General features: G+C 40.1%; 2 long non-coding RNA genes across 2 annotated transcripts, besides 5 other annotated features; one reads left to right on the forward strand and one right to left on the reverse strand.

The window, feature by feature from the left end:
* Positions 206-752: an enhancer, noted in NCBI's record as "NANOG hESC enhancer chr20:11229310-11229856 (GRCh37/hg19 assembly coordinates)". NCBI's record gives its function as "activates a minimal SCP1, AML or CMV promoter by ChIP-STARR-seq in naive H9 embryonic stem cells {active_cell/tissue: H9 hESC(naive)}" and the evidence as "EXISTENCE:reporter gene assay evidence [ECO:0000049][PMID:30033119]".
* Positions 12,674-13,174: an enhancer, noted in NCBI's record as "H3K4me1 hESC enhancer chr20:11241778-11242278 (GRCh37/hg19 assembly coordinates)". NCBI's record gives its function as "activates a minimal SCP1, AML or CMV promoter by ChIP-STARR-seq in naive H9 embryonic stem cells {active_cell/tissue: H9 hESC(naive)}" and the evidence as "EXISTENCE:reporter gene assay evidence [ECO:0000049][PMID:30033119]".
* Positions 13,175-13,675: an enhancer, noted in NCBI's record as "H3K4me1 hESC enhancer chr20:11242279-11242779 (GRCh37/hg19 assembly coordinates)". NCBI's record gives its function as "activates a minimal SCP1, AML or CMV promoter by ChIP-STARR-seq in primed H9 embryonic stem cells {active_cell/tissue: H9 hESC(primed)}" and the evidence as "EXISTENCE:reporter gene assay evidence [ECO:0000049][PMID:30033119]".
* Positions 17,587-23,291, forward strand: LOC124904960 (uncharacterized). Its single transcript, XR_007067724.1, has 2 exons — positions 17,587-17,676; positions 22,790-23,291. It is a non-coding gene; the product is annotated as an uncharacterized LOC124904960 (long non-coding RNA).
* On the reverse strand, positions 18,203-24,927 carry LOC339593 (uncharacterized). Its single transcript, NR_038972.1, has 2 exons — positions 24,878-24,927; positions 18,203-20,426 (listed from the first exon to the last, which is right to left on the reverse strand). It is a non-coding gene; the product is annotated as an uncharacterized LOC339593 (long non-coding RNA).
* Positions 18,290-19,489: an enhancer, noted in NCBI's record as "BRD4-independent group 4 enhancer chr20:11247394-11248593 (GRCh37/hg19 assembly coordinates)". NCBI's record gives its function as "activates an origin of replication core promoter dependent on BRD2, P300/CBP, MED14 and CDK7 cofactors, and independent of BRD4, by STARR-seq in HCT116 cells {active_cell/tissue: HCT116}" and the evidence as "EXISTENCE:reporter gene assay evidence [ECO:0000049][PMID:35650434]".
* Positions 22,205-22,499: a silencer, noted in NCBI's record as "tiled region #8773; K562 Repressive non-DNase unmatched - State 24:Quies". NCBI's record gives its function as "represses a minimal TATA promoter and a strong SV40 promoter by Sharpr-MPRA in K562 cells {active_cell/tissue: K562}" and the evidence as "EXISTENCE:reporter gene assay evidence [ECO:0000049][PMID:27701403]".
* Positions 24,928-26,016: the final 1,089 nt, after the last annotated feature.

The raw sequence follows: 26,016 nt of genomic DNA on the forward strand, positions 1-26,016 counted from the left end.
TTACTGGGAGAATCAAAGCAATTACTGGGAGAATCAAAGCAATGCTCGCTGTAAGAGAGAGTTTTAAAAAATCTTTATTTCACCATCTTCTTGAAGTGAGAAGAATCATTCCACATTCTTATGGTTGGCGCTAAGATTCTCTTTACTAAAAGGTTTATTAGGGGGGTGTGTGTGTGCATGTGTGAGTTTTCTCCTACAAACCACTCCTAGAGGCTTAAAAGTTTCCTCTTCCTAAGAGGCTTGTAAGCAGCAGACAACAAGGAAGACTGAGCCTAATGAGAAGGGCATTAATCAACCACCCAAGTACCAATGGATGAAAGCAGAGATTCCTCCAGTCTCCCAACTACCTTAGCCATAAGTAAATTAGCAACTCTTTATCCTCCCTTTAAAAGATAAGGAGGGATCCGGTGCAGGGATCTTTAAGATATTTCCCACAACAAGTGTCAAAATACGCTGAAAGCTCCCAGGGGTCCAACTCCCACACACAGTATGCCCTTCATTTGTTTATCTAAATGCTGACAAATTGCAGTATTTTAACAGCCTATCTGTGGGCTTGGCTTCATTTGCATGGCGTGCCCTCTATCTTTGAGCCGATAATGAGGCTCAACATAAAGCCCTCATTGAGGGCTCTGCAGAGGCTGACAGTGATGAATACAGAGCAGGAGAATTAGGTGGTTTAGAGAAGAATATGCTATTGTGTACAGCCCTTATCCCTTTCTCTTCCCTGCTGCTCATTTTCAGGTCTTTCAAGGAAACTGCCTCTATACCCTTTCTAGCTAGTGTCTTTTACCTTCCTTTCACTCTGAAAGGGGACCATCTTCCAAATCGTCAGCTCAGCCTTATGCTATTTTAGTCACTATAATTATGTTCCCATTTTATCCTATGAAATGCTAGAGGTTTCCTTTCACTATGCAAACCACTGAGAAAAGCTGGAAAGCATTGTCCTGGGAACATGCGGCCCCTCCACCCACTGAATTCTCAGATACTCTATTTTACAATGCAGAATCCAGCCACCTTCTGTCGGAAACATTCGGCCACTGTTGCTAGACAGAGCTGTCACTGAGTACGCTGTTGAGATGTGGCTGATGGTTGGGGAAGTTACAGAAATTTAGCAATTCAATTTCCTTCAGAAATGTAGCAGTCTGAAGGTATGTGCTCAAACAGCTAATTTTGGTTAATGGTGTTTATGTTTTTAAATTGAACACAGAGAGGATTTAGCTTGGTCAGAATGAGTGATGTTACATAGGGATTTTCTCTAGGGAAGAGTGAATTTCCTGTCTTGGAAGGCAATCCTCCATGTGATGTGTGACAAAAGAAGCTTTTGGTATAAAACAATGGGCTTATGGCATAATATGTTTGGAAAAGATCTTATGGATAGATGGATCTGACTGATCACTTCATTTCTTCTAAGGGAAGAAACACAGAAGGGGAAGTGGTTTGTCCAAAGTCACACAGCAAGTCTGTGAACTAACCCTTTCTCATGCAAAGGTCCAGGAAAGAACATGATCTTGCTGAATGAGCTCGCAGAAAGATTCACATACGGGTGCACTCTACTGCATCTCAGTTTCTGTTATCCATGGCTCTCAACTTGTTCCATTTTGATATGCTTTGGCTCATAAAATCACTTCTTTTACTAGAATCTTTTAAAAGGATCATCTGTAATTCTCAGACCTCTGCCTCCCCTGACTCTGATTCTGGGATCCAGGATTCATTCTCCCTAATTCTCTAATAATGAAGTGGGTTATCCTCATTTAATCTGCTTTCTTCCTGTTTTTCTGGTTAGTTGACCTTTTAGGTACACACTGAAATCCTAGCTTTTTGGACTTCCCTGCTCTCCCTTACACACTGTCTAATGGGATGCACAAGACCTTGAATTTACTAGAAGTCATACATGGTCAGCAAAATTATGATGCTGATGGCAAAGGGCCTACTTTGCCTAAGAAATGGCTGAGATTCCATCCTACTCTCTTTTTTGATGATGCTGTGGAACTATAAAAGTTTCTTAGAGCCTGTAATCCTTAAATGTCTGTAACAAATTTGTGTCTACGTCCGCTTCTTTTAAAATAATGCCTTTTATTTTCTCTAATTATTAATTTAAATACATGCTCATCCTAGAACGTGTGGAAATTAGAAAACTGTATTTTAGTCCTCACCGTCTCTAGTTCATCAATCTGATCATTATTAATGTATTGCTATGTATGTCTCTTCCCTTTTTCAAATATACCAACATTCTATTCTTACTATAATTGTCAGGTCTACATATTTCTTTCCATTGACATAACTTTAAAAAAAAAACACAAACACTATATAGTACATATTATGGGCCTAAGAAGTACTGTTTACATAAACTGATAATAAATGGCTAGCAGGTCCCATGAAAGAAGGTGAACAACAATAATTTAACATGTAATGATTGGTTTGTATGCAAAGGAAAATGGAGAATTGTTATTACAGAAAAGAACACAGTTATATAATTGCTTTAGTTATAAAGTCAAATGGTTTCTTGTCTTGCATTTTCTGTATGTAAGAATCCTTAAGATATATAGCATAGGGTCAAACAGAATAAAGAGCACATGCTTTCAAATCTTTGCTCCATTCCTTATTATTTAGGAAATTTTCTTAGTTTTTCTGTGATATCATTTCTTCAAGATGGATAACAATGCCTTCCAAGATTTTCATAATAATTTACCATAATGCATTTTAGCCATTTAGCATAGTGCCATTTGCAGAAACAAGGAAGAGTTTCTGCAAAGATAGGAGTTTGATAAACGTGCTTGTGAAATCTTCTGAAATTCATATCTGTGATGGATTCTCATACCTCCAGGATAGTGTTGGTGTAGTCTAAGTCTTCCTGATGCCCTGGGAGGAGACCAGCTGATCAACTTCCATTGTAAGGATGTATTTGCCACCCCTCTTCCGGGGGTCCACCCCCGGAGCTGCTTCAAGGGCCACTGGGAGAATGGTGGTGAAAACCATCTGCCCTACTATGATGGAGAGGTGATTGATAAAATTTTTGCACATGTCCCTTGTAAGTCAATGACTGGGGTCTATCTGTGACTGGATATGTTGCTCCTACAGGCATTCAAGCGGGCATATGTAGGGGTATTTAAGTGCTAATTTTTGCTTCGAAAAGATAGGGAAATTTGCATTGGAAACATTATTAAAAACACAGATTGAGGACGTAACATATGGAAACTAGATAGTAATCCTCACGGTTCAGCATAATAGCACCACTCTCAATGTGGAACTCACGAGAGCATATACATTTACTGATCCCACTTTAAAAAAAATCAAAGAAAAAATCCAAATCATTTGAAAGTGTATAATGCATTCCAACAATGCATTAGTGCATATATAATAATGTGTAGCAGAATGCCTTCCTATGATGGTTAAAAACCTAGTGTTAAACTGATCGAGGGTTCAGTTTATTTCCTTGGAAACTTGGTGACCATGGACTACTTTGAAAATTGATTTTTGTAGTTGTTGACTTAAATATCATATTTTCAAATGTATCTTGCTATGAAGTAAAGCAAAGATCAACATAATACTAAGAGTAGATTCAATGACAAAACTTAGGAGGAGACCTAGGATATAGTTTCTGTTTCATTTTGATCATGTTTGTATGAGACAAATCTATATCTTTCAGATGGCAAATGACACTGTTAGCTTTGAACAAAAAGAGATCTTTACCTGCTGAATCAAAACCCCACAAGTTTTCCTCTATATCTGTTTTCACCTTCCTTAGTAATATAATTTCCAATTCAGCTAGGCAAATGGCTTCCTAAATAAAGACTATATTTTCTAGCATTCCCTGTGATTAAGTGACTATATAATTAACTTCTGCCAATAGATGTAATTGGAAGAAATATATGCCCATCACTGAAAGTGTATTTTGACTTATCTTCTCCTTTTCTAGTTGGAATGTGATAGGAAAAGCAGGCGCTCCCACTCCGCATAGCCATCTTCAACCATGACATACCTCACCAATGATATCTACATGCAGCAGAATGACACAACAGAAAAACATTGAGTTCCCAACACCATGGAACATCGTACCATAATTCTAGGACTAAGTTATATTCAGAATTTTTTAATGTCAAGGACAATATACACCTGTATTTTCTGTTATTAGAATTGTTTGCTTTTATTTTTCAGATTGAACTTAAGCTTGACTAAAATATCCACACTCAGCATTCCCTTCTGAAATTCAATGATTATCAGGTTTTCTGGAATCTTCCTGCAGCAGCATATCAAGCAGTGATCTGTATTATGAGAGTGTATCTGCTGCCTCTTTGTGTGAAACCCAGGGACCCACTTCCAACATTACTTTGAGGAAGATGGGGAGGGGGTGCAAAGCCCATTACCATGTGTTTTCCAGCTTGCACAAAACTCCACTGTGACTCTACACAATTCTTCTGTGCAAGGATAAAATATTTATTATTGGATGTTACCCCATACAAAAATGGCAGAAGGTCCAGTTACTCCTCACTCATTGCTCAATTAGCAGGCACTGTTTGGAACCCCTGGTTTCTGGTGAGCACTGGGATAACAGTATTCAAAATATTCAGGAGACTTTTTTTTTTAATTAAATGAGCTTCATTGGGAAAGTCAGATAAAGATGAAAACCAGGAGTAATGGAAACTTAAACTGAAAAATAGGAATGTAAATTGTAGCACAAGTTTCTGAGGTGGGAAGATCTGGGTGAGTCACAGTGTTAAGAGTAGTCTTACATAGAGAAGCAGAGATGGTAGTGGGCTGTAGAGGTTTCATACAATAAATGGGAAAGAAGATATCAAAAATATATAGCCACAGGAATCCTTTCATTTACTTAACAGCCTTGAGTTTGCAGGGCTGTGCTAGTTGTTTGGATGAAAACGTTAACCTCAAGCAAGTAAACTTACCTTACTAGAGCTTAGTTACCTTATCTGCAAAATAGAGATAATAATAGAGTTCTATCCAGGATTAAATATGTCAATACACGACAAGCACTTAGAATAGTGCCTAGTATGTAGTACATACTGAATAATTACAAGTTATCATTATTGTTGTTATTATTTGCAGAGGAGCTCAATGTCTAATGGAGGTGACACCCTATAAATATTAATGGTAGCGGATTGTAATGAGTTTTATCATAGAAATGTAGATGCAGCACTCCGGAAAACACAGGAGGGGGGAACTAAGAGTTGGGAGGAAGCATTTGTGACTCCTCCCCAGTTAAGTCATATTAGAACTTAGACTTGCAGAGGGGTTCATGTTATAGTTTGACTTGCAAAGGGGTTTCTCCAGATGACGAAGAGCATTGCAGGCTGGTGCGCAGCTTGTGTAAAGGTGAGGAGAGGTTGGCAAGTTAAAAGTTTGGAAAACTAAAGTTTGGTGTATTGGGAAAGGCTGATGATGTTGGGGTAGACAGACAGAATGATGTAGTGGTACACGCTGGTATAAACATAGCAAATGCCAACAGCCAGCATCCATTTTGATAGGGTCACATCTGTTCTGACTGGCTGGTACCCGTGCTGAACTGAGCAAAAATAATGTGGAGGATAATGTGGAGAATGTCAACACAGGCTTTGTAAATCTTGGTTTAAAAAAAATCAGAAATAAGCCCCAATTGTCAGTTCACCACTCTGCAGAGAGACATCACTTCACAAAGACATTTGCTACATTTTTTTGGCCTCTTTATTATCAGTAATGTTCTTGTGTAAAATTTCTTAATATTGTCTAATTAATATTAGATAAGCAATTTGTACTAAAACAAATGAACAAAAGAAAACATAGATGGTGTGCTGTGGCAGAGTCTACACTGTACCTTTTGTTGTCTGAATGATGAGAATGTGCCTCATGGAAAAGTGGTAATGGAAGTGGAGCTGCTCATGGAATTGCCATCTACACTTCCCTACCTTTCCCAGCCAACAAATAATTTTTCTTTCCAATGATGAGTGAGTAGAGACCATGAGTATCATTTCTGGTCATTTACTAAGCTGGTCTATGGTACCTATGTATTCTGTTCCCCTGCTATGCCACCATGGAGTATTATGAGAACACCTTTGTTGGACATGTGGAATGAGTAATGTTTGTCACCTTGATCAACTTTGTTTGCAAGGTTAATTTGTAATCCAGACATCATCTAGCACTACCCTAACTAATGACAGAACTGTTACCAGGAGTGGGGTGTTAGATATCCAAACCCTAAAATATGTAGCTTTGGCTTTGTGACTTTCAGCAGACAGTGATAAAGCTTACCTCACAGGCTGAAACATGGCAATCCATGTTTTGCAGGAACAAAATATTTGGTAAAATTGTCATCTGAGGAACTTTACTTGGAACCAGATGCTGTGGGTTCTGAGCCAGAAACTCTCAGGAAATAAGTCAAAAAAATAGAACCTTAGCATTGCTGTTGCTTTCCTTTGGCTAGAGTTGACAAGGAATCACTGATTTGAAGGGGGTGATTTTAGAGAGAATTTAAAGGTTCATAGAAAAACTTAAATGAAATAGAAATAGCACAGAAATGTGGGGCCTTGTACTGTGGGAAAAACTCTCAAGCCATAGAGGTTGAGATTTAAAAGGGGTTTTAATGCCGATTTACCAATAAGATCTTTCACAGAAAATGTATTTTTTAATGTGACTTTTTCACTACAGCCAAGTCTCTAAATAGCCTCCATTAAATTAAAAGCTAGATACTCATGCTAAGAAGGTGAGGAAATGGGCATTTTAGATTACATATAAAGTGACTTTCAGTGTGATTATTAATATATGGAACTTACTAGAAGTGAATTGGAAGCCTATTGAGTTTTTGAGAAAATTGTATTGCCAAAGAAGCAGTAAACCCTGTCTAAAAACATCTGTGACTACTGAGGTTTTAAACAATTCTTGGTCCCCCAACCATGCATGGTCAGGAAATAGGCTGAGAAAGTTGGGTAGTCTCAAAGGAGGGCATATTCCCTAGTTCCATTACATGTGACCAAGGAATATAATAGACAAAGAATAATTTCCTGGAAAGAGACCCAGGGACACTGAAGAACAATGGGCAAGGGGTCTCCTTCCAGAAAAGAGAATCAGGATCTAATCAAGAAAAATTCTGCATCTTCAGGTTCTCAAACATCTGCCCAGAAAGAATGAGTAGACAAATGGTGAATTTGTGTCTTCCATTATTCCTGTTTTGTGGTTAATTGTGTTCTTCTCCATTATATAATGGAGAGTCAGCAGAAAATGTGTTTATAGGTCATACATTTCTGAACTAAGAGAAACTGCATTCAGACATGATAGAGATATTATTATCTCATGGATATTCTGGATTTTGAACCAGATACCGTAATAAGATGTATCATTTCTTGTGAGGAGGGATTGAGTGATTTCTACATCTAAGCCTATCAGGCAGAATTCCTATAGGAAACAGGAGGCACTCCCAAATTAGGATAAACTGAGGAATACTTACTGACAAAGAGATTAGTTAAAAAAAAATGTAGGTAGAGTGTTGAGGAAACAACAAGGTATACTACAGAAACCTAGGCCATTGTCATCCATAGGCCCAAAGGAGGGTGTGAATGATTACCAGGACCTGGAAGGGGAGAAGACTGAGTCATTTTGTCATGTCAAGAGGCTCAGAAAGCCAAGGTGTCCTCACAGGGAAAGAACCAGGGCATAAATACCCTGACCTCATTCTCCTCCTCCCCATAGGTCTCCTGGGTCTTTCCTTTTAGTAGTCCCAGCTGTAAGCCAGTGGGCATTGAAGCCTTTTTTTTTTTTTCAAGATAAATAATTTATTTTATGTTTTAATATTTTTTATTTCAATAGTTTTTTGGGGAACAGGTGGTGTTGGTTACATGAATAAATTCTTTAGTGGTGATTTCTGAGATTTTGATGCACCCATCACCTGAGCAGTGCACACTGAACCCAATGTGTAGTCTTTTATCCCTTACCACACAACCCTTTCCCCTGAGTCCCCACAGTCCAATGTATCATTCTTATGCCTTTGTGTCCTCATAGCTTAGCTCCCACATATGAGTGAGAACATATGATGTTTGGTTTTTCCATTCCTGAGTTACTTCACTTAGAATAATACTCTCCAGTTCCATCCAGGTTGCTGCAAATGCCATCATTTCATTCCTTTTTATGTCTGAGTAGTATTCCATGGTGTATATATATATATATATATATATGTGTGTGTGTGTGTGTGTGTGTGTGTATATATATATATATATATATATATATATATATATATATATATCACATTTTCTTTACCCACTCATTGATTGATGGGCATTTGGGCTCTCCATATTTTTGCAATTGCAAATTGTGCTGCTATAAACATGCGTGGGCACTAAAAACAAAAATCACATGATCATCTCAATAAATGCAGAAAAAGCATTTGACGAAATCCAGCATTCCTTTGTGATTAAAACCCACAGCAAAATTGGCATAGAAGGGACATACCTTAAGATAATAAAAGCCATCTACAACAACCCATAGCCAACAATATACTGAATGGGAAAAAGTTGAAAGCATTCCCCCTGAGAACTGGAACAAGACAAAGATGACCATGTTCACTTATATTCAACATAGTACTGGAAGTCTTAGCCAGAGCAATCAGACAAGAGAAAGAAATAAAGGGCAACCAAACCAGTAAACAGGAAGTCAAATTGTTGCTGTTTGCTGATGATAGAATCCTATACCTAGAAAACACTAAAGACACATCCTAAAAGTTCTTAGAACTGGTAAAAGATTCAGCAAAGCTTCAGAATACAAAATTAATGTACACAAATCAGGAGCTCTGCTATACACCAACAGCAACCAAGCTGAGAATCAAATCAAGAAGAACTAAACCTCTTTCACAGTAGCTGCAAAATAAAATAAAATACTTAGGAATATACCTAACCAAGGATGTGAAATACTGCTACAAGGAAAACTACAAAATACTGCTGAAAGAAATCATAGATGACACAAGCAAATGGAAGCACATCCCATGCTCATGGATAGGTAGAATCAATATTGTGAAAATGACCATACTGCCAAAAGCAATCTACAAATTCAAGGCAATTCCCACCAAAATACCACCATCATTCTTCACAGAACTAGCAAAAACAATCCTAAAATTTATATGGAACTAAAAAAGGGCCCACAAAGCAAAACTAAGCAAAAAGAACAAATCTGGAGGCATCGCATTACCTAACTTCAAACTATACTTTAAGGCCATAGTCACCAAAACAGCATGGTACTGGTATGAAAATAGGCACATAGACCAGTGGAAATGAACAGAGAACCAAGAAATAAAGCCAAATACTTACAGCCAACTGATTTTTGACAAAGCAAACAAAAACACAAAGTGGGGAAAGGACCCGCTATTCAACAAATGGTGCTGGGATAATTGGCAAGCTCACATAGAAGAATGAAACTGGATCCTCATCTCTCACCCTATACAAAAATCAAGTCAAGATGGATCAAAGACTTAAATCTAAGGCCTGAAACCATAAGATTCTAGAAGATAACATCAGAAAAACCCTTCTAGACATTGGTTTAGGCAAAGAGTTCATGACCAAGAACCCAAAAGCAAATGCAGCAAAAACAAAGATAAATAGATGGGACTTAATTAAACAAAAAGCTTCTGCACAGCAAAACAAATAATCGGCAGAGTTAACAGACAAGCCACAGAGAAGGAGAAAATCTTCACAATCTACACATCTGCGATTGAAACCTTTTGATGCGTTCTATAAATAACTATTCTATGCACAGAGAGCTGGATACAGAATAGGGACAGCAAGTCCGCCGGGGCAAAGAGAAAATATATGAATAACATGGGAAAGAAGGAAAACAAGGGTGCTTCACTGACCAGAATAAAGAAATCAGGCATGTAGTCTTCTACTTACACCTTCTTCCATACATTGACAATTCAATTTTCAGTGGGGAATAAATATATACTATGAGCAACAGACATTACAATATATGTTACAGATTGGTAGGGTTCAAAGCCTCAGCATGGGATAATTGACCTCTGCATTCAGTTAATGAGTGGTTGATCTTCGCCAGGACTCAAAGTTCATAACTTCTTTCAGGTTATCATGTGGCTGCCCCAAGACTAGTCATAGACTTTTCAAAAGTGAGTAGCAGGGAGTAGAGTATATCGAGTTGACTGTGTATAACTACTTGAAGGTGATCACTCCACGTTCTTCACTGCTCCCACTTTGATTTATCATTACATTAATGGTGCCAATTCTTTACCCCTCTCTATATCCATGCCCTTTACCATGTGACTTTATAGTTCTTTTCACTAACAAGATAAAGCCTGTTTTACCAACCCTTGAAAATAGGCCACCTTGCAATTTGCTTTGGCTACATAGGAGGAGGTAAAAGTGATAGTAAGCCACTTCAAGCCTCAAGAACCATGAGAGCATTCCCTAGTTAACCTGCTGGAGGATAAAAAATACCTAAAGCAGAGCCAAGTCATCCTTGTCACTCCAGCTAGAGTCATTATAGCTTCAGCCTGCTAAACTCTACATGTGGGAGCAATAACGGGCAAAATCATTGGAATCTAACCTGCCTGAAGTTTATTCAAGATATTTGACTATATACAGTTATTTTGTATCCATTGAAGTTTTTGTGATCGTTTGTTACACAGTACTGTTGTTGTAGATAACTGATACACTCTCATGTCCCTTAGCCACATAAAATTACAGCTTCATAGGGCTATTGTACTTTAATGACAGCTTTGACTGCAAAATGATTTTCAATTCAATTCTCATGAATAGCAATATCAACAATGCTTTTTTTCTGCTGCCTTTACGAGAGGTGTTTAGACTCTTATTCACACTCAGATTTTTAATCACTTTTTTTCTCTTTTTTTGAGAGGGAGTCTCACTCTGCCACCCAGGTTGGAGTGCAGTGGCGCAATCTTGGCTCACTGCCACCTCTGCCTCCTAGGTTCAAGTGATTCTCCTGCCCCAGTGTCCCCAGTAGCTGGGATTACAGGGGTCCGCCCCCCCACCACTCCTAATTTTTATATTTTTAGTGGTGGAAATGGGGGTTTCGCCATGTTGGCCAGGCTAGTCTCAAACTCCTAACTCAGATGATCCACCCACCTCGGCCTCCCAAAGTGCTGGGAATACAGACGTGAGCCACCACACCCGACCCTTAATCACTTTTTAGCTTTAATTAAACCCTGGCCGAGAATGCATTAGCCCTGGGCTTCAGTTCCAGATCTGCCTTTTAACAGCTTCAATTGTGGGTCAACTAATTCAACTTGCTAGGCCTCAAACTTCTCTTCTATAAAATGGGAACAAACTGTTCTGAGAACTAAATGCAGCAATGTGTGTAAAGCTTTTAGCCTAGTCCTTTATGGTTTCACAAGTTGATGAGACTGAATCACAAGATAAAAGATTGTATCTACTTCTTGCTATCTCACTTGGAGATGAAGTACAGTGTGTAAATTACCATACTAAATGAAAGAAATAAGATAGACTGTACTTACAGTCACAATTTTTATTTCTGCCTATTGTTTGTTGCATTGTTTTCAGGGGAGAACAGTTTTAATGAGAACCAGTAACCCTAAAAATAAAAATAAAGAGGACAAGAGTCCTTAGTTCATTTATGGTTAGTGTTTACATATTCCCATGAGGGCGGGATTGCAGTCTGCTTCATTAAATCAACAAAGTTTGGGGCAAGCAGTGTGCTGAAGCCAGCCTGTACCTGCTGGTAAGAGTCAATTATTCAATTTTCAGTATTTTTTTAAAAGCCAGTTGTTACATGCAATTGCTATTAAAAATTTAATTTTTAAATTTAAAATGAAATAAGTTATATTAAAAACAAAGATAGTAAATCCTCAAAGCTTATTGCTTCCTAATTATTTTACTATGTTTTGCTATTACCCATGCTCTTGAGCTTATTTACATCAATTGTATCTGCATGGTGGAAACACTACATAACAGTATGTAAACAGGGAATCTTTTCCCCACTCAACCTTCAGTGTTGCCACACTGGTTGATTACAAGGGCCATAGAGGGAGTATACACCAGAGAATTCATCAAATTCTACAAATCATGTTTTTTTGTTGTTGTTATGACAAACAATTCATCAATGTGTCCAAGAATACCTTTGGGTGATTCTGCCAGTTGCACTTAGAAAGACATTACTGATTTTGCACTTGTTTAGAAATGACATTATCTCCTATCTACTTTTGCTATGATATTGGGAAGTTGGCTATAACTATACACACTTCTTCAAGAAAAAATAGTCTTCTCCAACAATCTACTGATGAGTCAAACACACTTAAGAAAAAGCCATCAGATTTAACTACAGAATGGGGTCATTGTAATTCTTAGCTACGTCATGGTCTGGCAAGGGATGGAATGAGAACACTATAGCGGGAATGAGGCAACCTTGGAAACCTGGTACAAATATTTTCTGAGGAGGCTTCCTTTAATCTGACTTGTTGGCGGACTGTGCTGTGATGGAGGCAGAAAACTAGAAGGCCAAGCCCAGCTCAATTGCCTGCTGTCTGGTGACCTTGTTCAAGTCACTTTCACTCTCCTGCACCTCAATTTTACTTACCTAGAAAATACAAGGATCATATAGGTAATATGTAGGATCTTATATAGCTCTCAAATTTCATGACCTCCAGCTCATAGACGAAGAAATCCAAGAGAAAAGAAACACTTCTGAAAGACAGTCCATTGTATCTTCTCCATTATCTTTGTTGACAAAGAGAATTTCAGGGGGATGTGGCCAGTCTGAGAGGTGCTGTACTTTAAAGGAAGAGAATTTAATATAAGGCAAAAGATTTTTCATGGGGAGATTATGACCCATGCCTTGTAGCTTCTTACTTTGTTACAGATCACGTTGAAAAGAAAATGTTGGCACTTTAAGTTCCTGTACAATTTTAAAGAATGCACACACAAATTGTGCTTCAGCAGGTGACCAGAAACAAGCTGTTTTGTTCAAGTGTAGAGATTGTTGATCTCTGGAAAAACATCCCAGCAGGGGGTAGGAGTGGCAGAGATGAGAGAAAAGGGGCCTCAGCTCTTGTTGGGTAAACAGTTACCTGGCCTGGTCAGTCCTGGCAGTCTCCTGCTTGCCTCCCCTACACTGCCCACCCTCCTGCTCCGAGGCCAGAAGCTACCACTGCCTCTGCCTCCACTTGGCTGAACTGGGGCTGGGCTCTCACCTCCTCAGAGCAGACCAGGGGGCACTCATCACCCTGAGTCAGATACAAGCTGCAGGGGATGACCGATCCTACCACAGAACTCTCACCACACACACTTTAGAGTCTGACTCAGGCCCACCAAAGCAGGACAGTCAGAATTCTGCGGCCAAGGTTCCCTCACCTCCTCAGTTCCCAAACCCCCTTGGGGGATCAGTCCGCCCACCTTGTGAGCACTCCTGCTGGTGGGAAACCCCAGGGCTTTGGGAGGATTTGAGCAGAGAAAGAAGCAGTTTTAGCCAGAGGGAAACGGGTTTTAAGATCAAGCTGGGAGTTGGCACTAAGCCTTCAGATGAAAATTGCTTCACACTTTGCAAACAATTCCTAGCATCCCTGGGCTTTGACTTCTCATAATTTTGTGTCTCAACTTTATTGTAGGGCCCAGTAGCCTCCTTTTTCTTTTGTTTCTATCAGTGCCAGTCACAAAGGGGCTCTGGTGGGTCCCTATGACTTAATAAATCTTTCACTGTGAGGCCCTACTGTTCCAATGTGTGACCCCTCTGGGAGATGGTCATTGCCTGTCTAGTGATGTGGCTGGGGCTGCGTCGGTCAGTGATGCTGGCTCAATCCTACACTACAAGTGAGATCTGCTCTTCTGTAAACTCACTTGATAATATAATATGCTTCAGTGGTCAAGATAACTGTGTTTCGTCATTTCCTTTTCCTCTATGTGCTTTAGCTCCATGGTGGAACCTATGTTTTAATATATAATTTTGTCGACATCTCTAGAGTTTTGCACAAAACCTATCTAGTTATGTAAGTCATTATCAGCTAATCTGTTAGCTCTGATATGTGGGGCCATTTTGAGGATTTCTTCTAATCTGAGACTCTTTTTTTTCTCCAAGTCATTCTTATATTTGTTTTGTAGTTCTTTGTTAATTGATTCATCAACCCAGATTAGAGAGTTAATTGCTACTATTTGATCTTGGCAATGTTAGTATTCCCTATCATGGGATTTAAGAGCCAATGTATTCCACTCCTAAGTGTATACCAAAGAAAAACGAAAACATATTTCCCACAAACATTTGCACATAAATGTTCACTGCAACATTATTTATGATAACAAAAACTGGTTAAAAATAGTACATCAACTGATGAGTAGCTAACTAAATTATGATATATCTGTAAATGGGATATTATTTATCTATAAAAATATGTGAAGTACGAATACATACTACATGGATGAATCTTGAAAACACTGTGTAAGTGATGAACCAGCCACAAAGACCACATATTCCATTTATATGAAGTGTTCAGAAAATAGGATAGTGCTTGGCTTGGGTTGAGAGGAAGGGTGGAGGAGAAATAAGGAGTGACTATTAAGAAACCCATATAGGGTTTCTTTTTGGGGTGACGAAGTTTCCAAAATTGATCATGATGATAGTTGCACAACTCTGTGAGTATATTATAAACCATTGAAATGCGCACTTTAAATAGATGAATTGAATGGTGAATTCAATCTGAATGTGAATCATATCTCAGGAAAGTTATTATACTAAAAGAACTAAAGGGCCAATTTATTAAACCTCTATTTTTATTTTATAAATTATTTTTTCTCCTTTGTATTTATTATCAATGAAGTGTTTCACTGCTGTGTAATTAAGAAAAATGTAACAGCAGTCACCTTATAGAGAAACAATAATACAATAAAATCATTATCAACAAGAGTGATCACAGGGTCTGTATTTACATGGAGTAACTTTATATGGAACAAGCAGGGAATACTATGTAGTCGAATGTGGTGGCAACAGCTATTATTATTGCCTTTTAACAATTATTGGCATATGTGAAAATCAAGGTCCTTTTAATGCTTCCAGGGGCCTACATGGCCTGCTTTCCTGATTCTTCTTTGGTTTCATCTCCTACCCCTCTTCCTCCTTGCTCAGCAGCCTGCAGCTTGCCCTCTATAACAAGCTTGGCATGCTCCCACCTCAGAACCTCTGCCTTGGCCTTGCTCTTTGTCTAGAGTGCTCCTCCCACATGTATGCACATGGCTTCACATTCACACTCACTAATTCAAGCTCTGCCCAGAAGTCAACTTAGTGAAGCCTCCCCTGACCACCCTAGTGTATCCTTCAAACACATTAAATAATTCATTTATCAGTCAGGTGCAGTGGCTCCCGCCTGTAATCCCAGCACTTTGGGAGGCCGAGGTGGGCTGATGACCTGAGGTCGGGTGTTTCAGACCAACCTGGCCAACATGGTGAAACCCCATCTCTACTAAAAATACAAAAAATTAACTGGGCATAGTGGCGCATGCCTATGATCCCAGCTACTTGGGAGGCTGAGGCAGGAGAATCGCTTGAACCCGGGAGGCAGAGGTTGCGGTGAGCCGAGATCACGCCATTGCACTCCAGCCTGGGCAACAAGTGCAAAACTCTGTCTCAAAAATAAAATAAAATAAAATAAAATAATTCATTTATCATGTTTACATTTTATTGCGTGTCTTTTCTGTATAAGTTCTTTGAGGTGAGAAATCTTTGGCTGTTGTATTCTCTGAATATGTACAGCGGTGTCTGAGATATAGTAAACGCTCAATTAATATCTGCTGAATAAATAAATGATCATAGATGATAGCAGTGCAATTTGAGGTATATATTTCTGTTCTTTGTTAGTTAATTTGTCAGTCAGTACATCTCAAGTTTTAGACATTCTCCTAACTTGGGAATGAATAATCAAAAAGAAAAAATAACTAATTTGGAAAACAGGGAAAATGTATCTTTAAAGAGTAAGGAGACAATACTTTAAAAATAAATCAATCTATAACAGGAAATAGACTATATTTTAAAATACCTAGTCTGCAGGTAAATGATTATTTTAGTAAAAGCATTTACAGATTACTTCGCTTCTCTTTAAAGGTAACACCATATATTAATTCAGCAACCATATAAATATTAATTGAGTACTTTCTGTGTGCCAGGCACATGATGTTAGTGATGAGCCAGTGGCGCTTACATTGTCATGGAAAGACTAACAAAAACCAGCCAAACGAGTACATATAATGTCAGTTGGTGCTGACAGCTATAAAGAGAAACAATTAAAGTAAGCAATAATAAATTAAAGGGGTGCTGGGATGGTTAGCAAAGGCCTGTCTGAGATGGTGACATTTGCACAAAAGCATGAGTTAGGTTAGGTAAGAGTGCACCTTCAATAAAAAGAGTGCACCAGATAGAGGAAACAGCCAATGCAAAATTCTGCAGCAGGAATATGTCACCACGTTCAAAGAAAGGCAAGGTGTGATGAGGAAAATGAGAAGAAATGATATTGGAGTAGCCTTCAGGAATCAAGTCACCCTAAGGCCTTGTGGTTATAGGACTTACAGCTTTATTCTTGGAGCCAAGGTTGAACTGACATGATCAGTTCTGCATATGTGTGACATGATCTGGTATACACTTCAGGACTATTTTGACATTGGGGGGTAAGAGTATAAGCAAAGCAATAGGATGCATGGTATATGGAAGCCAGAAAGAAATCTGAGGCTATTCTCAATCTGGAAAGCAGCAATGAGCCACAAGAAAAAAGAGCTAAGTTGATTCAGCCCTATCTTGGAAAGATCAGACTCCAGATAGAAGTTTGCCTTCATCCTGGGGGCTGCTCTGTATGATGGTCAAGCTGGCATGTGTCTAGGGAGTGAACCAGACAGTAAGAAGAATGTACCTCTTGGAGTGAGGAACTCTCTGCTGTGTTGTGGATTCTGTCTCCACAAAAGCAGGATCCAAAAATATCTTGAGACATACTCTGGTTCAGGATGTAATGTCAGGATGCTCCACCAGGTTCCCAAAGTTACCTAAAACAGAGGGTCTTAATTGAGTTTGCTCCTTTCTTTGATTGGGGTTCCCAAAAGCCATCCCTGAGATAATATTAATATATTGGGGGAAGTAGAAGAAAATCAGAGATGGGAGAGGGAAAGGGAGAGAGAGAAAGGAAGGCAGCCCAGAAAGGATGTTTCACAAAATCAGCTACTGCTGTGAGCAAGTGGAACCTAGACTTGCTGGAGACTGCTGGAAAATGGGGTGAAGCACCTTTATCCTATCCAAGTGGCAAGGAAACCGGGTGTATATGCAAGACTCCTAGCAATCATTCATCTGGCCTGCCATGAGTGGCTAACCTAGACTTAGATACCAGAGACTGTCCTTAGGCAAAGAGTAAGTTGGGCTGCTCTGCCCTGAAGGAGTAAGGCAGGAACGAGTAAGGAGTAAGAGATGTAGAGATGGTACCCACAGTATCTGCTGCAACCACCCCTCAGGGAAATTGCTGTTCACTCAGGCTACCATACAAATAGCACCCCTTGGGGTTTTGCAACATGCATCTTGTTCATTCTCCCCCTTCTTGTCCCCCGCTCCAGTCCCATCTCTATGATATTTGTTGTGCAGGATGAATTCACGCTTCTCAACATCTAAGCCTTCGGCACACCCTTTGGTGGAATTCAAAGTTTCTGCGGAGCAGAGAGCAGTAATTAACAGTGAGACCTTATGATGAGCAAATCACAGGTCAGTAATAACTCAGTTCTTGGGGAATTCAGTCATGGGGAAGCAACAACTCATAGCTCAAAGTCAGATTCCCTTCTATTTGTAACAATTTCTGGGTGAAGAAGCTTAAGAAGCTAGTCGCATTTTTCCCGGATACTGGCAGCCATTGTTTCTCTCTTTTTCTTTCTCCATTAAATAGTACATCCGGGGCACCTGTGTCCCACATTATTTAACAAATGATGTTCTCATTTTGGCAGGCAACACAGAAAAATATGGTTCCTTTACAGGATTTTCCTTGTGAGCTACAATTTTGATCCAACACCACCATTGATCTGGAAGAAAATTATGTATAATAGAGTTTTAATTAGACTCTGAAATGAAGTGTGTGTGTGTGTGTGTGTGTGTGTTTGGGGTTCGAGTGTGGATGTATGTGTATCCATACGCTCGCATAAAAATGGTGACCCAGTTTTAACTCTACTGGTACAAGCGAAGCTGTTGTAAGACAGAAATGACTTCATCAGGAAATCCTCATTCAGACTTCCAAATATACAAATAGATGCCTTTTATTCCACTGTGAATCAAAATGATGCCATGTCCTGTAATTAAGGATGTTATTGACCAGGTTGAATGGGCGCCAACCATGCCTTGCCTTTGTTTCTATGACAGTCATTTCAAAGTTCAGCATCTTAAGTCTGATAGTCACCTTATTTGGCAAACATTCAGGAATTCTGCTTCCAGGTTTATTTCAGGGTGACAGAATTTTCATTTAATCTTTATCTCATGTTAGGAGACACGTTAATTGCTTGAGGCCAGACACACAAATATTTGTGTGCTTGAGGCAGGTTACTGTGCAGACAAAAATAGTCATAGATGAAAGAAATATATATCCTAACATAGTGACTTGAGCTAAACTATCATTGAGCCGAAGGTTTTTTTTTTAAGTTGTCAAATGTAAATATATGTGGGATTGAGTCAATAGATAACATTAGCTTATTATTTCTTTCCTGTGGAAGCCATATGCAACCATTAGTCTTTTTAAATATTAACTTCTCAAACTGACCAGGTAACTAGCTCCTGTGGGTTCTGTATAATGGTAGGATGAAATGGTCCGTTGAACCAGCATCTTGGGTGGGAGGGGAGCAGAAACACATTTAGAGCAATGATACAAACACCTCTGAAATCAGCAACTCAACTCTCAGATACACAGGGCCTGTGTGGAATCTCCTCCTTCGGGGGCACTCTGCCCAACTTCCCCAGCTGCAGGAAAGAAGACATCACCCTAAACACTGAGAGAATGCCTGAACTTGCCGTGTCTTCTCTCTCGCCTGCTCGTCCACCCCCATCAAATTCTATCTTTGTTTTAGGCCATGACTCACAACCCACCCCCACCCTTCAGTCAGCTGTGACTCATAGCAGAGGCCAGATAAACTGAAGGCTGAACAGCAGGGGTGGGAGAGAGCTGCAGTGGTTTTTTTTTCCCTCTTGCTTTTTTTACCCAGTGAGAAAAGCTAGGTCAAATGGTCAAGTTGTGGGAATCTTTGAGGGTTTATGTGTATGTGTGTGTGTGTGTGTGTGTGTTTAATTTGGGGGAATTCCTGCATTGACTGGGGGATTCAGCTAGGTGTACTCTTTGAAGGTAACAATAATATTGTGGTTCCAACTTTTACCATTGAGAATAATCTAACTTTGATTGCAAAGATGGCCTCCAATTTTTTTTGAAACATTTTTGGGATCCTTGCCTTTTGCAATGTGACTTTACTCCCATTAAGGCATCGGGTCTCTTTTCCCTCCTTTAGAGTCTGGGGTTGGACATGTGACTTCCTTTGGCCACCAGAATGTTGCCAAGAAGTAAGTGATGCACCAGTTTAGGGCCTAGGCCTTAAGAAGCTATGCGTTTTCCTGATCTCTCTTTTGTGCTTCTGTTTTGCTGTGATAGGCTAGCCTGCTAGAGGATGGCTGCATCGTGCAGCAGAGCCAGGTCACCAAGGCCAGGGCTGTCCTAGATCAGCCACACTGCAGCAGACAGACCAGTGGACTCTAGAAAATTGAGTGAGCCCAGCTAAAATCAGCCAACCCTGGTTCATTGATGAGGACCCAGCTGAGCTGCCCAGCTGACCAGTAGCTTTGTGAGGACCCAAGAGCGAGCTGTCCAGCTGACCTGTAGCTTTATGAGAAAAACAAAAATAGGAACAAAAACAATATTGTGATTTTAAGCTACTGTGTCCTCCCTTTGGCCCTTACTCTGTAGAGACTTCACATGATTTACTTCGCTATCTTTTTTTTTTTTTTTTACTTTCTTTTGAAAGAGTTCCCTTACCCTATGACTTCAACACTGACCTTTCTCTAAGGAGGATGCTCTCATACGTATCTTTATCTGTCCTCTCCCTTGCAAGCGTGTCCAGCCCGTGGCCCATAGGCCACAGGCAGCCCAGGATTGCTTTGAATGTGGCCTAACACAAATTTGTAAACTTTCTTAAAACATTATCAGATTTTTTGGTGATTTTTTTTAGCTCATCAGTTATTGTTAGTGTATTTCCTGCATGGCCCAAGATAATTCTTCTTCTTCCAATGTGGCCCAAGGAAGCCAAAAGATGGGATACCCTTGCATCTTGAGTTTTCATCTCATGTCCCCAGTTACCTCCTGGGCTCTTTCTGTCGGCTGTCTGGGTACTGCTCATGGAAGAAATGTCAGCAGGAAAAGGAGAGGTCTTGTCTTCAACCCACTGCTGATGCATTTCATAACTTTTGGCTTCTCAGGGTCTTTGATGTTCCTGTAAAAGACATGCCAGTTAACAACACTAAGTGATCACACAGATAAGGGACACTTGTAATCAGCCTCAAAATCACTGGGCCTAATTCCCGTATTGAAATGGAAACCTGTAGAAGCATACGTACCTGCTCCCTCACCTGTCTATGCTTAATTAAAATAGAGATTTTGAGGCTCTTTCTTGGAAATTCTATTTCAGGAGGTATGGGTTAGTTTTCCAGAAATTCACTTATCATTTGGACACTCCATCCAGACCTCCTTCAGGATGAAACTCATCCTGCCTTTCAGGAGGTGAAGAACCCTGAGGTGGTAGGTTCAGGCCTCAGAAGTCTTCACTGCACAGGAGAAAGGAGGGACTCCTCTCTTGGTGTAATCATGGCTTTAATCGATGAATGCTTCCTTGTAAAATACTCTGTTGCACCCTCCTACATTAACACTGGGCTTATCCATGTGGCTTGCTCTGGCCAATGGAACAACTTTATATTAATATTATGTAATATACGTGTGTGTCTATGTATGTGCATATATATATATCTTACACACACACACACTATGAGAAAAGTGTTAAGATTGTTTTGGACAAAGAAGATTATGGATGAGTACGGTTAAGTTCCTTTTGGTTTTATACTGCTATCCTAACCTGTCTATTCAACCAATCATCTATCTATCAATCCATACATTAAATATTTACTAAGTACCAACTACATGCCAGTCCCCATTATAGGCCCTCAAGTTACTAGTGTTCTAATAAATAATTTATTGAAGCCCTTCTCATCCTTTACTAATCCGTTTTAACTCTAATACAATATGCTGAGATTTTACTGGGACCTGAAGTGTTCAGATGTGCTACAATAAATCAGGTTTGATTTCACTTCATGTGGATACCTGGTTCTAGTTTTTACAGCAGATCTGGCCTCTTGTATTGGTGGGAGGATTTACTGCCTATATATTTTAATTTAAGGGAGGCTTAGTAGGCTTCCTTTTTCTCTTGACCTCACCCTCCCAGCCCTCTCTCAATTGTTAACTGATGGTTTGAAATGTACATGTGTTCATTCAAGTTCTAAGGTTTTGTTTTCTATTAGACACGCCATCCAACTTTTATTAATATTTTACTTTTTTACAACTCTACCATTTCCTACCCCCCACTCACCCCACATCTTACCTAGAATGGGTTCCTATCTATTCCTTACAGAAGCCACACACACATATATATAATGCTACACATATATATAATGCTGTGCCAAGGCCCAGTAGATACCAGTAAGTCAAAAAGTTAAACACAAGAAGTCAACCTCAGGGAATGGGGTGGCTGACTGTGCAGTGTTGTGAAAGAGGAACACAATCAAGAAACGACTGTACAATTGTTATTGCCAGGCTTACACTACTAGCTGAAGTGTGTGAAGCAGACCAGGCACCCTCTCTTCACTTGTTCTCTGCCATGGGAGGCTGACCCACATGGACTATGCCGGCGGGTTTTGTCTTCAGTAGGTTCTCCCAGAAGCAGGCCCTGTGATAAGGACTGTAGTGTGTATGATTTACTTCGGGGATAATCCCAGGAGGCACCAACAGAGAAGCAGCAAAGTGAGACAGGGAAGGGACTAAATCCAATAATGAGTGTGTAATCAAGCAAGTTCTCATTGTGGGCAACTGTTGAGGATCCTGCTGGAACTCAGGGAGATGGTGCAGGGTGAGGAAGCTGCTATTTCTTCATTTCTTCACTAACGTGTATGAGTTATGGGTTTCAGGTACATCAGCTTTCTGATGCATTTGCTGTGCACATGGGCCAAACATGCTTGTCTGCTAGAAAAACAAAAAACAAAAAACAAAAAACCCTCAGGCCAAATGCCTCAGAGTAAAAAGCCTTCCCTATTTATGTGAATGACAAGGGGATGTGGGCGGGGCTGCTACGTAGTTCAGGTGATGAGTGGCACCAGCAGGAGATTCGGAGAGTGGGAGGAGAGTGAGGTCCTGGGATGGGTTCTCAGAGTATTGCTCTCCCCCGCCCCACCTCTCCTCTTACCCTGCTTTAGCTGCACCCTGAGGAAGCCCACAGCTTGTGTCAGGGTGTCCTTCCCCCTGCAACTCCATATCTGGTTTCCAGTAACTGCTCTCTGATGTTGCCCCTTCTGCCCTGGCACGCTAACCACTCTGGGATGTCGAGAGCCCTGGGATACTACACAATCCCCTCTTGCTTTTCTTAAACCACACCTGCACCTTTGTAAAAAGTCCTGTTACTAAACAATCCTTGATTCACCCATTAAAATGTCCCCTTTCTTTCCTGCCTGATAGAAGTGATACCTTTATATCTGGGTAGTCTCATTAATACCTCACAACAATCCAGTTGTTATTATTTTTCTTCTTTTGCAGAAGCACAACTCTGAAGTAAGTCACCTAAGGCCACGCAGCTAGGAGATAAATGAATCAACATTGAAACCCAATTTTGTTGCTTAGTATCCCACATTCTCAAACTATATTATCTGTCCTTATTGTGAATAAAAAGTGTTCTTATTAACACTACATTCTTGGCTCAGTGCTAAGCTCTGTGGCCCATTGTCCAGCACTTGACCAGGTCCCCGGCAGGCACTGAGCCATTTGATGCAGAGGAATGCTGAGCAGCGTGAGGCCAGGCAGGCCCAACTGGCCAGGTGACGCCTGGCCAGATGGTTCCTCCCCCCGGCGCCCCCAGAGGCCACTATTGAAAACCTGAAAGAGACAAAAAGCCTGTGGAATCCTCCAAGGGGACCAGATGCTGCTTAGGGAAAACCTCTCCACACTGTGGCATCAGGGAACGGGTGGTGCAAGAGAAGCTTCAAGAATGATGAACAGAACAAGAAACTGCCTCACTTGACAATAAAATAAATGCCCACCACCTCCTGTTTCCTCGTTAATGATTATTAAAATGATCCTGGTACAAGATTAATATTAAAAACTGATGCTTAGTAATAAACTTCTCACAGCTATCTTCAAGATTTCCAGGGAGTAATAGCTGAAAGGGAAAACTGAACAAGAGGAGTCTTCCTGTGTGTTGTAGTGCCTGGGTGTGTATTTCTTTCCACTGCTAGTACTTTTGTTGGCAAATAGTGCACGCTGTTGGAGCCTATCCCCCAGACCTTAAGTAGGGGCAGTGGGTCGTGTGGGATGGAGCCCTATCAAATGGGGCTGGACTCTGGTTTTGTCTGCTGTGACCCCGGGGGTGCCCGCTGGGATCTGTGAGCAGGCAGAGGCCGGTGGGAGCACCCTCCGCCTCCCTTTGTTCCGCCGGGCTCCAGCCTGCAGCAGCTGATCCGGTTATTATGCTCCTGAAAAGAATTTCTAGGTGGCCACAGTGACCATAAGGAGCAGAGAAACCACGAGGGCTGCAAGCCACGAAGAGCAACACATCGGCTATTGAGCACTAATCCCACCCATAATTAGAGGATCCCTTCAGCCTTGTGGTGCTCACAGAAATCTGAACTAAGGCAGAGAGGAGCCGTCTGAGGTCTGTAGGCCACCGTTTACCAAATGTGCTGTCATCAGCGCAATTAGCTTATTTGGTGGGATCGGCGTTTTAAAAAGAAAAACAGAAAGCTGTATAGAACATAGACTTGGGGCAAAAACTGAATTTAAGATGTAGTTAAAGTCACCTTTGATTTCTCAGCTTCCTTCCCCCACCCCATTCTTAAAATCATGCATTTTAATGAAAATTTGATCTGCGTGGGTCTGATTTGTTTACTTGGGACTCATCCAAATGCTGTTTTGTAAGAGCGATTTCATATCTAACAGATTTGCATAACTTGGGCTATACTTCTCAGAAAGAAAAACTCATGTTGGGCCCTAAATGAACAGATTTATCGCTCTGAGACTTGTCCAGGCTTTACGGTGGCAGTTGCTCTCTGCCTACTCTGCTCTCCCTTGTCTTCATCCCAGGCATCCCAAGGTTTCTGCTATACTAAAGAAAAGCTGCGCCCATCATCTGAATCTAACCTTCGTGGGTGCTCAGGAACCTGTCACCTGTTCTAAAATTCCACCTGCTATTTTAATTCACCACATGCCGCCCGTTGGCTAAGTGGAAGAAAATGAACATCTGATCACAAAGTCACTAATTATGTTTAATTACTGGCTAAAATATTAACTTTCAAAAAGGAAGATAACTTTTGAAAGTGATATGAATTCACCACTGTTGTAATCTATTTAAATTCATGTGTTACAAATAAATTACAAGAGAGAGGAAGATGATGTATGAATCTATATAATGGTCTTCATTTTTTTTCGAACCTATTATCTTGTTTGATTTTCCTAACAACATCATGAGGTACATAAAGGCAGATTTTCTCAGTTTCCTTTCATAAATGAGGAAACTGAGGTGCACATTTTCCACAAACCACACCAAACACTTGGGATTATAACCTGGATTTTTAATAACTTATTTGTGTTTATTTATGAGATGAAATCCCAAGCAAGGGTTCAAGGCCTTACCTTAGAGACCCACTTGTCCAAGATCCAGTAATATCTGCTCATGTCTGGTCCTGCAGATTAAGAAGAGAGTTGGAGAATTCTAAATGCTAATTGTCTTAGGTAAAACTGCTGTTTCCATGGTATCTGGGTGAATAAAAATATGGAGGTGAACTTCCACTACTGACCCGGAAGGATTTTCTTCATGAAAAGATTGTCACAAATCCTTTTGGAGGCTAAGAATAAAAAGTGAAGATGTAAATGTGCCTCTCTAGAACACTGTAGTATCAACCTGAATTAATCTCTCAAGCACATATTGCAAACACAGCTAACCAGGCCAGGAAAAATCATGGATAAGGGTCCTCTTCCTAAGCAAGCATACCTCGGGCCCCAATAGATGCAAATATAAGCATGGAATTTGCAAGAACATTGGAGATAGAAGGACTGCAAGTTTTACTTGAAGCTTTTTTTTATTAAATAGCTTGAAGCAGATATGTAATGCGATTGGTTAGCAAGCAGGCAATTTTAAGTACTTATTGAGTATTTCATTCTGATTGAGAACAAATTGGTGTTTTAACAGGATATACCCTTGAATTAGAGGTAGCATATAAGTAGTCAATTTACATTCTGTTTATAATTCCAAACCAGAAAGAAACATTGAATAAAGATACGTTTACCACATTTGGCTTCACCATGCAAAGGTCCCGTTGAATAGCAAAAGATTTGCACATATTTAAATTAGATTTCACACAATCTGTAAAATGACAAAGTATTAGGGAGGATTAGCCTAATTAAATGAGATTGTGAGAAAGCCTCAAAGAGATCCAAAGTGCAGATACCTTCCAAGTAGGATCACAGTGAAGGCTTCCAGAATCTATTTTGCCTCTTTCCCAGCAATCAGGGCTCAGATTACCCTGGGCGACAGTAGCACACTTGTGTATGCAGTGACATCTAGTGACAAAGAAAATAAAACCGGCTCCAAGGACACTTTCTTCACCAGACAGACTCCACAAAAATGACGCAGTACCTATCATTACTGTAGATTCGTGCATAGTATCCTATAGAGATTGCAAAAGAGATACACCAGTTTCTACACCAGATATGTTCAAAGAGGTAATACAAGAAGTATCAGTAAGGTTTGGCAAACAGCCGTGGTATCAGAA

This window comes from Homo sapiens, chromosome 20 (assembly GCF_000001405.40).
Source record: "Homo sapiens chromosome 20, GRCh38.p14 Primary Assembly".
Classification (NCBI taxonomy): Eukaryota; Metazoa; Chordata; class Mammalia; order Primates; family Hominidae; genus Homo; species Homo sapiens.